The 14,302-nt window shown below is 39.9% G+C and overlaps 1 protein-coding gene and 1 long non-coding RNA gene across 6 annotated transcripts in view; both read right to left on the bottom strand.

Moving 5' to 3' along the window:
* Positions 1 to 12,987, bottom strand: part of LOC124907967 (uncharacterized) — a 34,980-nt gene extending 21,993 nt beyond the window's left edge. Inside the window, exon 1 of the long non-coding RNA XR_007088056.1 lies at positions 72 to 12,987. This is a non-coding gene — a long non-coding RNA (uncharacterized LOC124907967). The remainder of the gene's footprint in view (positions 1 to 71) is intronic.
* The window catches only part of PARD3B (par-3 family cell polarity regulator beta), a 1,074,688-nt gene that overhangs the window by 1,049,151 nt on the left and 11,235 nt on the right, over positions 1 to 14,302 (bottom strand). The gene's annotated exons all lie outside the window — the stretch shown is intronic.

The raw sequence follows: 14,302 nt of genomic DNA, 5'->3' as shown, positions 1-14,302 counted from the left end.
ACCTCAGTTACAACAGCTTATACACCTCAGTTGCAACAGCTTATACACCTCAGTTACAACAGCTTATACACCTCAGTTACAACAGCTTATACACCTCAGTTACAACAGCTTATACACCTCAGTTGCAACAGCTTATACACCTCAGTTACAACAGCTTATACACCTCAGTTGCAACAGCTTATACACCTCAGTTACAACAGCTTATACACCTCAGTTACAACAGCTTATACACCTCAGTTACAACAGCTTATACACCTCAGTTACAACAGCTCATACACCTCAGTTATAACAGCTTATACACCTCAGTTACAACAGCTTACCTGTTTGAACTTCACTCTTTCTCATTTCCCATTCATCCTGTAAACTCTGCCCCTGGTCAATCTACCTAAAAGGTTGCTTTTAACAAGTCATTATCACTTCCTTCCCTCACCTTTGGAATAGAGCTCCTATCCAGGCAAACAAGACTCTCCGTATTTTTGAGAGGTCCCCAAACCACAATATTCTCAGCTACCTGTCCTCAGAAATTGAGCCCCCTATTCCAGCTAGATGGACAGAATCATGTCAGAAGAGCAAAGAAACTGTCAAGCTGTTCTTTGCCTTGCTAATACAGAAGGCGGCACAAAGCAGCCTATTTGTCTTCCCAACATCAACCCTAAAGGTGAGCTACAGTCCAGCCCCACTGAGAAGTTAAAGCTGTCTCTTTCATAAACACAGCCAAGTTCTTTATACTTCCCACCTATGCTGCCTATGTGAGGAATGAACCAGACACTCACTGGAAGCAAGACTTGGCTCACTCAGAGTACAACAAGCTCTCCCTTGCAGATGTGAATTCATACTTTACTGTACATTTTGTGACTTTGTAGCCTTCATCTATGAAATTTCATTCCCTTTCAGACCTTGCCTTCACAAAGGAGGCCCCAATATCTTGACTCCAACAGTAATGATCAGCACACACACCTCCAGTCATTGGAACCATTACTCTGAGTGTCTTGTAGCCCCGTTATAAATTTTGCCACACACTTACAAAATCTCAGCTCAATATTCCAGGCCCAAACAGGAGACAGGATGGCAAACGTTCAGAGAAAGGTTTGATTTTGTATCATCTTGATGATGTTTAACATCATGATCTTTGAGACTATAGCAACAAGTGGCCCAATGTGCAATGAAGCATCCCCACATTAAGCATCATCTCCCCACTTTTTTGCACAAATAAGTAGTTTTCTTAGAGTGCTCTCATCACCTTCTCCAACTGGTTTTCATCATTAACTGCATGGGACAATCTAAAGCACTATTCATAATTTCATACTTCATAATGTTGAAACCAAAGGGAAGATCTAAAATTTCTCTCAAACAATTTTTAGTTACAAAACACACAGTAAGTATCTTGCTTAATAGACAACTATCTACCTAAACAAAATGGCCAAAACTAAGAATGCTAGGCAGCACCAATGGACACCGCCTAGCCCATGACTGCAGGAGGTGAATTTAATACAGTGATTCACAGTCACATTCCCCAATGAATAGCCACATGGATATCTGTCACCTATTTGATGATTACTACTCTATGTTACACATCTTATAATTTCAACCTATATGTGGACATTTACATACAGTATTAAACATTTATGCTATCCAAATCTACTATCTGAATTGGAGCTTAAAGAGAGGCATTACGGTTTCATATAGCATCTAAATCTAAGTAAAAAGATGTCATATTGTAAAGATGAGAGATCACAACCTTTGGTTTCATGAAAAATAAAAGATAAGAGCTATACGCATGGAGATAATTAGTGATATTTAGAGCAATTCTTTTCAAGAATGTTTAAATATGCAAACTGTGCAGTGAAAGCAAAAAAACTGAGTCTTCCCCTGACCTCAGGTGAGGCTGCGGTTCAGCACCACACTCCCAATATTCAGTAGATGGCTGATGGGAAGAAAAAGAAATAAGCTTATTTAAATGCTGATGGGTTTTGGTATGTCATTTAAAGCAATGATATATTTGGGTTATAAAACAAAATAATATGCCTGAGTTTTCCTGCAATTTTTTTTTTTTTTTCCTGAGACAGTCTCACTCTGTCACCCAGGCTGGAGGGCAGTGGCGCAATCTCAGCTCACTGCAACCTCTGCCTCCCAGGTTCAATTGATTCCCCTACCTCAGCCCCCCGAGTAGTCGGGATTAAAGGCACACACCACCACATCTGGCTAATTTTTGTATTTTTAGTAGAGACAGGGTTTCACCATATTGGCCAGGTTGGTCTCAAACTCCTGACCCCAAGTGATCCATCCACCTGGGCCTCCCATAGTTCTGGGATTACAGGTGTCAGCCACCGAAACCAGCCTGTAATTTTTTCTTGAATGAAATTTCAATAATTTCTTGTAATTACCTAATTGGTATTCTAACAACATATTTCAAATATTTTAAATAAGTGTTGTAATTGCTGCTTCAGAGAAATCTCTTAACTTGAAAACTGATACATACACCCTCCTTAAATGATCTTAAAAAAATTTTTTTAAAGATTAAGAACAGACTTAAAACATTCCTATTGTCAGAAAAGTACAATTTATTCCTGCCTTCTATTGCCAGTTCTAAATGGTTTCCCAGTCAAGAACAAAACATTCTTCTTTCCCAACTTTAATTCCATGGCAACTGATTTGTTATTTCTTTTTCTGTTATTGTTAAATAAAATCTTTGTTGTAGAATGTGAAAAAACATTTTTTAAGTTCTTAGTAAACAAATTTGTAAATCAAAAGAAATCATTATTTATCCACCTATGGAAAGAGTTTCATGAGAAGCTGAGACCATGTTTCTAATACTATATTTCATCAAGCAGTTCTTCAGGTATGGTCTACAAACCCCTAGGTATCCCAATACCTTTTTTGAAAATCTGCAAAGTCAAAACTCTTTCTCAAGTCTAAAAGGTTATTTGCCCTTTTGATTTGTCATTTCACAGATTTACAATAGTATTTTAAATCTTTTCAAAAATTATTCTAAATATTTTAGTTGTATGAAAACTATAATTTAGAATTTACTATATCATTCTAAAATAAATATCTAACTTTTTATATTTAAAGATGGATTGTTGCCTTAAAAGAGATTAGACACTTCACACCCATTAGAATGGCTATTAAAACAGAAATAAATGTTGGCAGAGATAGGAAGAAATTGAAACCTTTGCTCACTGATGATGGGACTGTAAAATGATACAGCATTGTGGAAGACAGTAGGGGGATTCCTCAAAAAATAAAACATAGAATTACTATATAATCCAGCAATTCTACTTCTGGGTATACACCCGAAAATAGTGAAAGCAGAGAGTAGAACAGACACTTGTACACTCATGTTCACAGTGGCACTATTTGCAATAACCAAAAGTGGAAGGAACCAAGCATCCATCAATGGATAAATGAATAAACAAAATGTGGTACATACATACAAAGAAATATTCTTTAACCTTGATAAGGAAGGAAATTCTGAAACATGATACAACATGAATTAACCAAAGACATTATTACGCTAAATGAAATAATAAAGTCACAAAAGGACAGATAGTGCACGATTCCACTTCTGAGGTATCTAGAGTAGTCAAATTCATAGACAGAAAGTAAATGGTGGTTGTCAGAGCCTGGGGGAGTGGGGAATAGGGAGTTATTATTTAATGGGTATGGAGTTTCAGTTTGGGAAGATGAACAAGTTTTGTAGGTGGGTGGTGGCGACAGTTGCACAACAATATGAATATACTTAATGCTACTGAACTATACACTTAAAATGGAACATTTTATGTTATGTACGTTTTAACGAAAAAAAAATCCAACATAAAAGAGGAGGATTAGAGCCTGGGCACAGTGGCTCAAGCCTGTAATCCCAGCACTTTGGGAGGCTAAGGGGTTGCAGATCACCTGAGGCTGGGAGTTCAAGACCAGCATGGCCAACATGATGAAACCCCGTCTCTACTAAACATACAAAAATTAGCTGGGCGTGGTGGTGGGCACCTGTAATCCCAGCTGCTTGGGAAGCTGAGGCAGGAGAGTCACTTGAACCTGGGAGGCGGAGGTTGCAGTGAGCCAAGATCGCACCACTACACTCTAGCCTGGGAAACAGAGCGAGACTCCGTCTCAAAAAAAAAAAAAAAGAGGTTTAGAAAGCCTGCTTTCCTACCCACAGGTATACATACTTTTTATGCCTAAAGATACTAAAAAAGATGAAACTGACACATTAGAGGCCTCTGATCCATGGAAGGGAAGCAACTACTTAAGAAAAAAAATCAAAACAACCCTGAGGAAAATTATAAATAAACAAAAACATTAACAAAGTTGTCTTTACCTTGTCTTTATAGATATTTAGTAATTTATACTATGTCTTACGCAACAGAATATTTTCAAATAGTTCAGTTGCAACATCATTTTGAAAATAATCACTAAGGATTTAAAGGAAAAGGAATTGATTTTTTTTAATGCAGACATGATGAGAACTTTATAAGACAAACGTTGTTGTAGTTTTTCAAGAGAGAAGAGAAAAAGCCACTGAAAGACCTTATAGGGTATCATACTGCATTAGCTGGAGAAAAACACACAGTAACTGAGACACTAAGAAAACTTTGTACCACTGACATTGCTGAAGGCCTGCTGGATAAGTTAGTTTAAAAAAAACATGGCAGTGCCATTTCCTAATGACACAGTAACTCCTCAAATGAAAGGTTTGTCTACAAACATGACGACTGAGTTCACATCCCAACTGCAGAGCTGTACCTTTGCCTTACAAATGGATTATAAAATGACTAATTGGTGCTGATGCTGATTGAAGATTTTTTTTAAATGTGAAATTCTGAAAATAAACACTGGTGCTTAAACAGTCAATGTGTCTAATAACTTTTGGAATCTCATGGTTTATCCTTGAAACAACTATGTTCAACACTGGCACTACTGATGCCTTAGCTTGAATGGAGGTAGTGACACTAAACTATACTAGCAGTCATTGTATTAATATTATTCACTGCCACTCATTGGTAGTTAAAAAATAATGTAAGCATGCCCTTGATGAAGCAGGTAAAATTTCATTATCTCTTGACCTTTGATTTCACATGTTTTTGACATTGTGTGTAAGGAAATGGGAAGTACACATAAAGCATTCTGCCGCATACTGAAGTACAGTGGTCACCTCAGAGAAAAGCACTCCTCTGATTGATTGACTGACTGAGCTGCAGGCTGAACTAACTGGTTTTTTTATGGTGCACCATTTTTGCTTGAAGGGAATGACTGGCAGATGAACTCTGGATATTTATTCTTGAGATTTTGATAGGTATTTCTTGAGAATGAATGATGTACACCTCGGCACTTGAAGGAAAACAGATGACAGCATTTGTTGTCAATCATAATCCAAAAATTAAAAATTTTTAACACCTGTATCCACCACTGTGAGCTTGATAGCTTCTCAATACTTAGATGTTTCTGATGAAATTGATAGTAATGTTAATATGCGTAGTTTTTGATATTATATAATGAAATATGTCAACGTTTGGAAAACTGATACAACTCAGTGAACTAATAGTTTCCAAATGACCAATGTATGGTATTAAATCACACAGGAATACAAGATCAGTCAAAGTACCACATGAACCAATGCATTGTAATGGAGTATGAATATTTCATTGGTTGTGATTCCAAATTCAACATTGCAATGAACCTTTAAGAAACCATGTTGAAATGTCACTCCCATGATTATGTTGTATTATATAATACTCCGTGTTGCGAGCTGACTTGCTCTAGAGACTCCTTGCTGGCTGGATAAAGTAAGCAGTTGGGTTAAGAAAGCCCACATGACAAGAAACTGCAGGTGACCTCTAGGAAAGAAGGGTGGCCTCCAGGAGCTGAAGGTGGCCTCTAGCTAGTAGCCAGAAAAAAGCTAGGCCCCTCAATCCTACAGAAACAAGGAAAGCGTTCTGCTAGCAACCTGAGTTAGCTTGGAGCAGATTCTTCCCAGTCAAGCCTCCAGATGAGAGCATAGCCTAGGCGATATCTTGATTGCAGCCTGGTGAGTCTAAGAAAAGGACCCAGCTAAGCTGTGTGCAGACTGCTAACCCATAGAAACTGTGATATAATAAATGTATTTTTAAGCAAGAAAAAGAAACTATAACTTACTGAATTTTCATGTAGTATATCTACAAAAAGCATATCTACAATTATCTGACGAAGCTATTAAAATGCTTCTCCCTTTCCAACTACATATCTGTATGAGGCAGGATTTTCTTCATATATTTAAATCAAAACAACATTGCAACAGATTGAATGAGAAAGCAGATTTGAGAATCCAGCTAATAAGCCAAACATTAAAGAGATTTGCAAAAAAATGGTATATAGTGCTATGGTTCTCACCACATTTTTTTTTGTTTTGTAGTTATTTTTCCTAAAAATAAGTATTTTAACTTGTAATGGGCACTTTGTTATTTTAAATCAATTGAACATATTTTTTAATTTCTCATTTTTGATTTATAATATGATAAATATAGATATAACGCACATGAAACGTTCCCTCAGGTCTTCTAAGAAAATATGAGGGCAAAGGGGTGTTAGGATCAACAAATTAAGAACTACTACAATGCTTGTACTTCCATCATCTCTGCCACATGATACACTCTCCCTCATCCTCTACTGCATTTGTCTAAATTCTGTCCATTTTCCCACTTGGCCATTCCAGCCTACTGCAGGCTCTCTTCCTTCTGAGTGCCCAGGAAACTCATCTGGCACCTGCTTATGGCTTTCTTCATTTCAAAATGTATGCATGTGAAGCCCCGAAGGAAAGGAACTGAGCTACGTGGGGGACATGACACATGCTCCAAAACACTCCACCTGCCACCTGTAAAAGAACGTAATTACAGACTGAATAGCAATGTAATCCATACCAGCCACTGGGCTTCAATCAATGCTTAATAAAGCAGACCACTGGCCGGGCGCAGTGGCTCACGCCTGCAATCCCAGCACTTTGGGAGGCTGAGGTGGGCAGATCACAAGGTCAGGAGATCGAGACCATCCTGGCTAACACGGTTAAACCCCGTCTCCACTAAAAATACAAAAAAATTAGCCGGGCATGGTGGCGGGTGCCTGTAGTCCCAGCTACTCGGGAGGCTGAGGCAGGAGAATGGCGTGAACCCGGGAGGTGGATCTGGCAGTGAGCCGACATAGCGCCACTGCACTCTAGCCTGGGTGACAGAGCAAGACTCCGTCTCAAAAAATAAAAAATAAAGCAGACCACAAAGGATGTGACATGAGATAGAATTTAGGACATACATGAGTCTCAAAAGTGTCAACTGAAAAGGTAAATGAGAACAAGGAAGCAGATACCAAAATGTTTACATGGAGAAGGTAGTAGATAAGTCAATCACACCAATAACCTTCAATTCTCAATAATACAGAATGATTATTATATGTGGACTATTTTGGAGCAAAAATATAAGAAATAAAGAGAGTAACATTGTAAGAAAGGCAATGGGGAAATCAACAGAATTCCCCCAATGTGTCTTAGTGGAAAAGCAAGAAAAAATGCATTAAAAACAAATTGCCATTATTATGGGTTGAAGTGTGTTATCCTCCAAAACACAGTATGTTGAGATCCCAGTCCCCCCCACCCATACCTATGAATGTGACCTTATTTAGAAACAGAGTCTTTACAGATGGAATCAAATTAAGACGAGGTCATTAGGGTGGACCCTAATCCAGTATGACTGGTGTCCTTATAAAGGGAGAAGAGAGAAAGAGAGAGAGAGAGAGAGAGAGAGAGAGAGAGAGAGAGAGAGAGAGAGACAGCGGGAAGACGGCATGTAAAAACGGAGGCAGAGATTGGAGTTATGCTGCCATAGCTCAGAAATGCCCTGGGCTGCCAGAAGCTGGAAGAAGCAAGAAAGAATCCTTCTCTAGAGGTTTTGAAGGAAGCGTGGCCCTGCCAACACCTTAAATTTGAATCTACAGACTTTAGAACTGTGAGAAAATAAATTTCTCTTGTTTTAAACCACCCAGTTTGTGGTACATTGTCATGGCAGCCCCAGGAAACACAGAGCGATAGAGTGAGGGACTCCTTACGACCCACAGCTGCATTTCCCAAGTGGCCCTTCCTCAGCCACAGACAAAAGTGAAACAAGAGAGAGAAAAATCGGAAATGCAAATCTAGTTACAGCAACGAAAAAAAAAAATTTTTTTTATTAGAAATATTTGAACTGCAGTTTTTTTTTAAGGTTCTGGGAAAATGTTTCTGATCAAACACTGCTGTCAAAACTCAAGCCCACTGAATCTCTATAAATGTGTCTATAAATACAGAGGCAAGGATTATTTATCCATCTTACACTTCCTCATCTCTTTGCTACAAAAGGAAGTAATCCAGACCTAATATTTAAAGTTACCAATACTATCACCATGTCATGACAAAAGAAAAACAAGATGACAAGTAAAACTCTTTCAGTTTCTCGAAGATTTTATAAAGCCACAGCGACTTCTGGGCCAGGATGACTCTTAGCTCACACACTAGCCATACACAAGTCTCAAGATCCAAAAATTATCTCTATTACACATATAAGGTACGTGGCATTATAATCCACAGAAAAATTCACCTATTAACACCTACAATGTCATTTGATTTTAGGAGTTTAAGTTCATTTTAGAAGCTTAACTTCAGCCTCACACTTTGGATAAATCTATAAGCAATCAGATCTTAGCGCTGTGAGGATTTCTGAGTCACTTGATCTGATGGTCCATCCTGTGTCCATAAACATCAGGAAGCTCCAGTGGTTTTTTTACTATGGGCCCTAACCCATTAGTGAAATCAATTTAGCACACCCCAACTACTTTTTCAGTGAAACAAAATAGAATTTAGAAATCTGAGGGCATCATTCACAGCAAAGGTAAGTACTCTCCTGAAACTTTTGTTTCAGGCTGGGGGTGGGGCACGGGGGTTTGTTGTATGTGTGTGTGTATGTAGATACTGAGTCATGCAGGCAAATATTTCTGTCTTTATTAGTCCAAACTTTGGCAGTAAACCATCAAGGGACAATGGTCCTAACAGCGGCAATCCCTTGCCATTGTTTGAGACCCAACAGGCCAGGTAAAGGAGTGACCTTAATACAGGGGAGATGGCCGGGCGCGGTGACTCACGCCTGTAATCTCAGCACTTTGGGAGCCCGAGGCTGGTGGATCACCTGAGGTCAGGAGTTCAAGACCAGCCTGCCCAACATGGCAACACCCCGTCTCTACTAAAAATACAAAAAGTTAGCCGGGCGTGGTAGCGTGCACCTGTAATCCCAGCTACTCGGGAGGCTGAGGCAGGAGAATCACTTGAACCCTGGAGGCGGAGGTTGCAGTGAGCCAAGATCGCACCACTGTACTCCAACCTGGGTGACAAGAGCAAAACTCCATCTCAAAAAAAAAAAAAAAAAATACAAGGGAGATGAGTACATAGGGCTAGAGCTGTGGACTTTAGGAAAGGGAAGCAGCCAGCCCACAGTGACCTGGCAGGAATGGAGCTGCCCACCCTCTTGTTCTCTCACTGGGGCTTCCCCAATGGCCGACCCTAACTAGAAGCCAGAGGGCAAGAAAGTCCACTCAGCTCAGCCTCCTGGGTCACAGAGGGGACTGGAAAAGGGACAAGAGCGGGTCCGGAGGAACAAAGGAAGATTTCCAGCCACTGTGACTACCAAAGTCTAAAAGCCACCCATATCAATTTATACTTTCATTAACTGAGCCTAACAACTTTTATTTCTGAGCACCAGGTTGTTCCCACACCTGCCCTCTAATCCCAACCTTGAATCAAGGCTCTAATCCAATGCTGAACAACTGGTGCAAAAGATTGGCATCTTTACGAACTCAGGATTTCTGATTGCTCCAGGCCCTCACACTGCTCACCAACCCTTTCATCTGTTCTCAGTCTCCCACCTCTCCTATCCCTATCTATCAGGTTCTGTAAAGCAAAGGCCATGTCTTAGTTATCTCGGAACCCCAGCCTGGGTGGCCAGAACACAGGCATATTCACTGAAATGTCTCAGAGACTGCGCCCTCTCCCCAGTTCCACCTACACTTCTCTTCCCACTGAGAGTCAACCCCCAAGCCTAATTACTTTGCCCCCTAAACCTCAAAGCTCATTTCTGCTTCTGCTTCAATACATCTAACCTCCACTCCAACAGCAGGACCTGAGCCAGTTCCTCCACCTCCAGTCCCAGCTCCCTCTATCTCCACTCTCTAGCGCAATCAATAAAAAAGGTAGGTCCAACAATATCTCCATCCTGCCCCAAATGCTTCCTTAACTCTGGCTTTGACCCTTACTCCTTCCCTACTACCCGTCCCACAACTGTCCTGGAGAAACTTCCCACAATTCTATCCTCTTCTCCCCAACCTCCTCCTTCAAACAAAACATACATGTTTACCTTCAAACAGCGGTAGGCTGCCCCCACCCCTCCCTCATGTCCTGCCCCATCTTCCACTCCTACTTCCCTGGCAACTGTCCATGCATCCTTCAAACCCCTGGCCACGTACAGCTCATGGAGTGAAACCTGCTCAACTTCCCCACCTCCCCTTGCCCCAAAGCACCTTGATCATACCATGCCATTTGTTGCCATGCTCCTCTATGCCTGTTAAATCTATAAGCCCACTGGTGGCAGAAGCTGTGTCTTATTTTACTCTATATCCTCAGCAAAAAACACAATACTGACCCAAAGTCACTGTCTAAATCTTCCTCCATGTGACTAAAGTGACTTTTAGATGATCAGATTGTTACAGGCAATCATCACACAGGATCCCCTAATTGGAAGTCTGACTGAGACCTCACTGATTACATGGCACATTTTACTATTATACTTTTAAGTTCTAGGGTACATGTGCACAACATGCAGGCTCATTACATAGGTATACATATGCCATGCTGGTCTGCTGCAACCATCAACCTGTCATTTACATTAGGTATTTCTCCCAATGCTATCCCTCCCCAGACCCCCCACCCCACAACAGGCCCCAGTGTTTGATGTTCCCCACCCTGTGTCCAAGTGTTCTCATTGTTCAGTTTCCACCTATGAGTGAGAACCTGGAGTGTTTGGTTTTCTGTCTTTGTGATAGTTTGCTCAGAATGATGGTTTCCAGCTTCATTCATGTCCCTGCAAAGAATAGGAACTCACCCTTTTTTACAGCTGCATAGTATTCCATGGTATATATGTGCTACATCTTCTTAACCCAGTCTATCATTGATGGACATTTGGGTTGGTTGCAAGTCTTTGCTATTGTGAATAGTGCTGCCATAAACATATGTGTGCATGTGTCTTTATAGCAGCATGATTTATAATCCTTTGGGTATATACCCAGTAATGGGACTGCTGGGTCAAATGATATTTCTAGCTCTAGATCCTTGAGGAATTGCCACACTGTCTTCCAAAATGGTTTAATTAGTTTACATTCCAACCAACAGCATAATAGCATTCCTATTTCTCCACATCCTCTCCAGCATCTGTTGTTTCCTGACTTTTTAATGATGCCATTCTAACTGGTGTGAGATGGTATCTCACTGTGGTTTTAATTTGCATTTCTCTGATGATCAGTGATGACAAGCATTATTTCATGTGTCTGTTGGCTGCATAAATGTCTTCTTTTGAGAGGTGTCTGTTCATAACCTTTGCCCACTTTGTGATGGGGTTGTTTTTTTCTTGTAAATTTGTTTAAGTTCTTTGTAGATTCTGGATATTAGCCCTTTGTCAGATGGGTAGATTTCAAAAATTTTCTCCCATTCTGTAAGTTGCCTGTTCATTCTGATGGTAGTTTCTTTTGCTGTGCAGAAGCTCTTTAGTTTAATTAGATCCCATTTGTCAATTTTGGCTTGTGTTGCCATTGCTTTTGGTGTTTTAGTCATGAAGTCCTTGCCCATGCCTATGTCCTGAATGGTATTGCCTAGGTTTTCTTCTACGGTTTTCATGGTTTTAGGTCTAACATTTAAGTCTTTAATCCATCTTGAATTAATTTTTGTATAAGGTGTAAGGAAGGGATCCAGTTTCAGCTTTCTATATCTGACTAGCCTGTTTTCCCAGCACCATTTATTAAATAGGGAATCCTTTCCCCATTTCTTGTTTTTGTCAGGTTTGTCAAAGATCAGATGGTTATAGATGTGTGTTGTTATTTCTGAGGCCTCTGTTCCGTTCCATTGGTCTATATCTCTGTTTTGGTACCGGTACCATACTGTTTTGGTTACTGTAGCCTTGTAGTATAGTTTGAAGTCAGGTAGCATGATGCCTCCAGCTTTGTTCTTTATGCTTAGGATTGACTTGGCAATAAGGGCTCTTTTTGGTTCCACATGAACTTTAAAGTAGTTTTTTCCAGTTCTGTGAAGAAAGTCATTGGTAGCTTGATGGGGATGGCACTGAATCTATAAATTACCTTGGGCAATATGGCCATTTTCACGATATTGATTCTTCCTATCCATGAGCATGGAATGTTCTTCCACTTGTTTGTGTCCTCTTTTATTTTGTCGAGCAGTGTTTTGTAATTCTCCTTGAAGAGGTCCTTCACATCCCTTGTAAGTGGGATTCCTAGGTATTATATTCCCTTTTTAGCAATTGTGAATGGGAGTTCACTCATGATTTGGCTGTTTGTCTGTTATTGGTGTATAGGAATGCTTATGATTTTTGCACACTGATTTTGTATCCTGAGACTTTGCTGAAGTTGCTTATCAGCTTATGGAGATTTTGAGCTGAGACAATGGGGTTTTCTAAATACACAATCATGTCATCTGCAAACAGGGACAACTCAGAGAGTTTAACATCCTCAACTTGAGGCAGCGGACAAGAGCAATGCAGGACATATTTATCTGGAAGATACTTGGCACTGCATCTGATAGAGACTAAACTGAGAGAAAACCTTTTTAACCGGCCTGTCTTGATATCCTGCAATTCCACCACATTGCAATCCAAAAAACGAGAGTTCAGCAACAGGAGGCAGGCTCAATTTAGTAGCTCCTAAGACAGAGATATCATGCCTGTCAAAAATAAAGAATCCATCAAAATTGAGGTAGTCCAGATAATTTTAAAATCAACATGAAATTAATGAATGCTGAAAATCAAACATTATTCAAACACAAGAGACTGCATCACACAAACCTGCATGAAGCAAAAACATTATGTTGCTTCATGGAAAATCCATAACTACAGAGCACTCAGTCTGAAAAATCTAAGAAGCAAGTCAACCTGTCAGAATTTGAAACTGTTATTTAAGACAATCAGTGTGGCAGATATAATGGACCACTAAACTACTGCCTACAGCAAATGTGGAGATGATAAGGCATTTCAAGATAATCAAGAGAAAAGTTGCACTTAGATTTAAAAATATGTATATCTACCATATATAGACTCCAAACTTACAAACGCCATGTTGACTACAAGCTCATTCTCATTTTTATTTTAAAAATGTGGAATTTGACAAAGTTTAGCAAGCATTTATAGTATCTACACTATATATCAAATACTGTGCTAAAAACAGAGATAAGAAAATAAAGAAGACTCACTCTCTGTTCTTGGGATGTAGAGACGATAAGGAGGAAGCAGATCCAAGAGAGATAACTTCAAAGCATCAAAGGAAATTTCTGAGCGACTGGACATGTGGTGGAATATGAGGGAGGTGTGAAGGATATCCAGGTTTCTAGATTAGACAACCAAGTGAATGATGGTGCCATGTGCGCAGTAACAGGCTACAAGGAATGGGGCAAGCAGATTCACAGAGAATAGAGTGGGCTTGAATTGTCTGTGGGACATCCAGGTAATGAAGTCCAGAGGCAGGCAGATATTGGGATCTGGAGCAAGTTCAGGGCTAGAAGTGTGTATTTACGGGTAGGTGAAGCCATGTGGTGAATGAGATCCCATGGAGGACGAGGCCAGAACCCCAGTGTACCAACATACAAGAAGATGGCAGAGAGGGCATCTGTGAAGACTCAAAGAAGACAGATGTTTAAGAATCCTGAAAAGCCCCTGGGTGAGACTCTGTCTCAAAAAAAAAAAAATCCTGAAAAGCCCATGAGTAGAGAGTTTTAAAAGGTGGGACATCATCAAAAACAAGAAGTAAAAGGTAACCATGGCCTTTAGCTACTAGATCTTGATAATTTTGTTGAAAACAGTTTTGCAGGGGAATGTGTGAAAACCAGCATAACCAACCAAGTGATGAGGCCTTAACAGACATACTACAAAGTTAGGTAATTTATTCCCCAATTTTCTGAAAATGCTCCATTTTAAGTTTATACACATATTTTTAAACTCATGCAAATTAAGCAAAATGTGAGTATATTCGTAACAAAATGGAG

Source organism: Homo sapiens, chromosome 2, assembly GCF_000001405.40.
Source record: "Homo sapiens chromosome 2, GRCh38.p14 Primary Assembly".
Lineage (NCBI taxonomy): Eukaryota > Metazoa > Chordata > Mammalia > Primates > Hominidae > Homo > Homo sapiens.
Note: the sequence above shows the minus strand (reverse complement) of the source record. Positions and strands in the feature narration are given on the sequence as shown.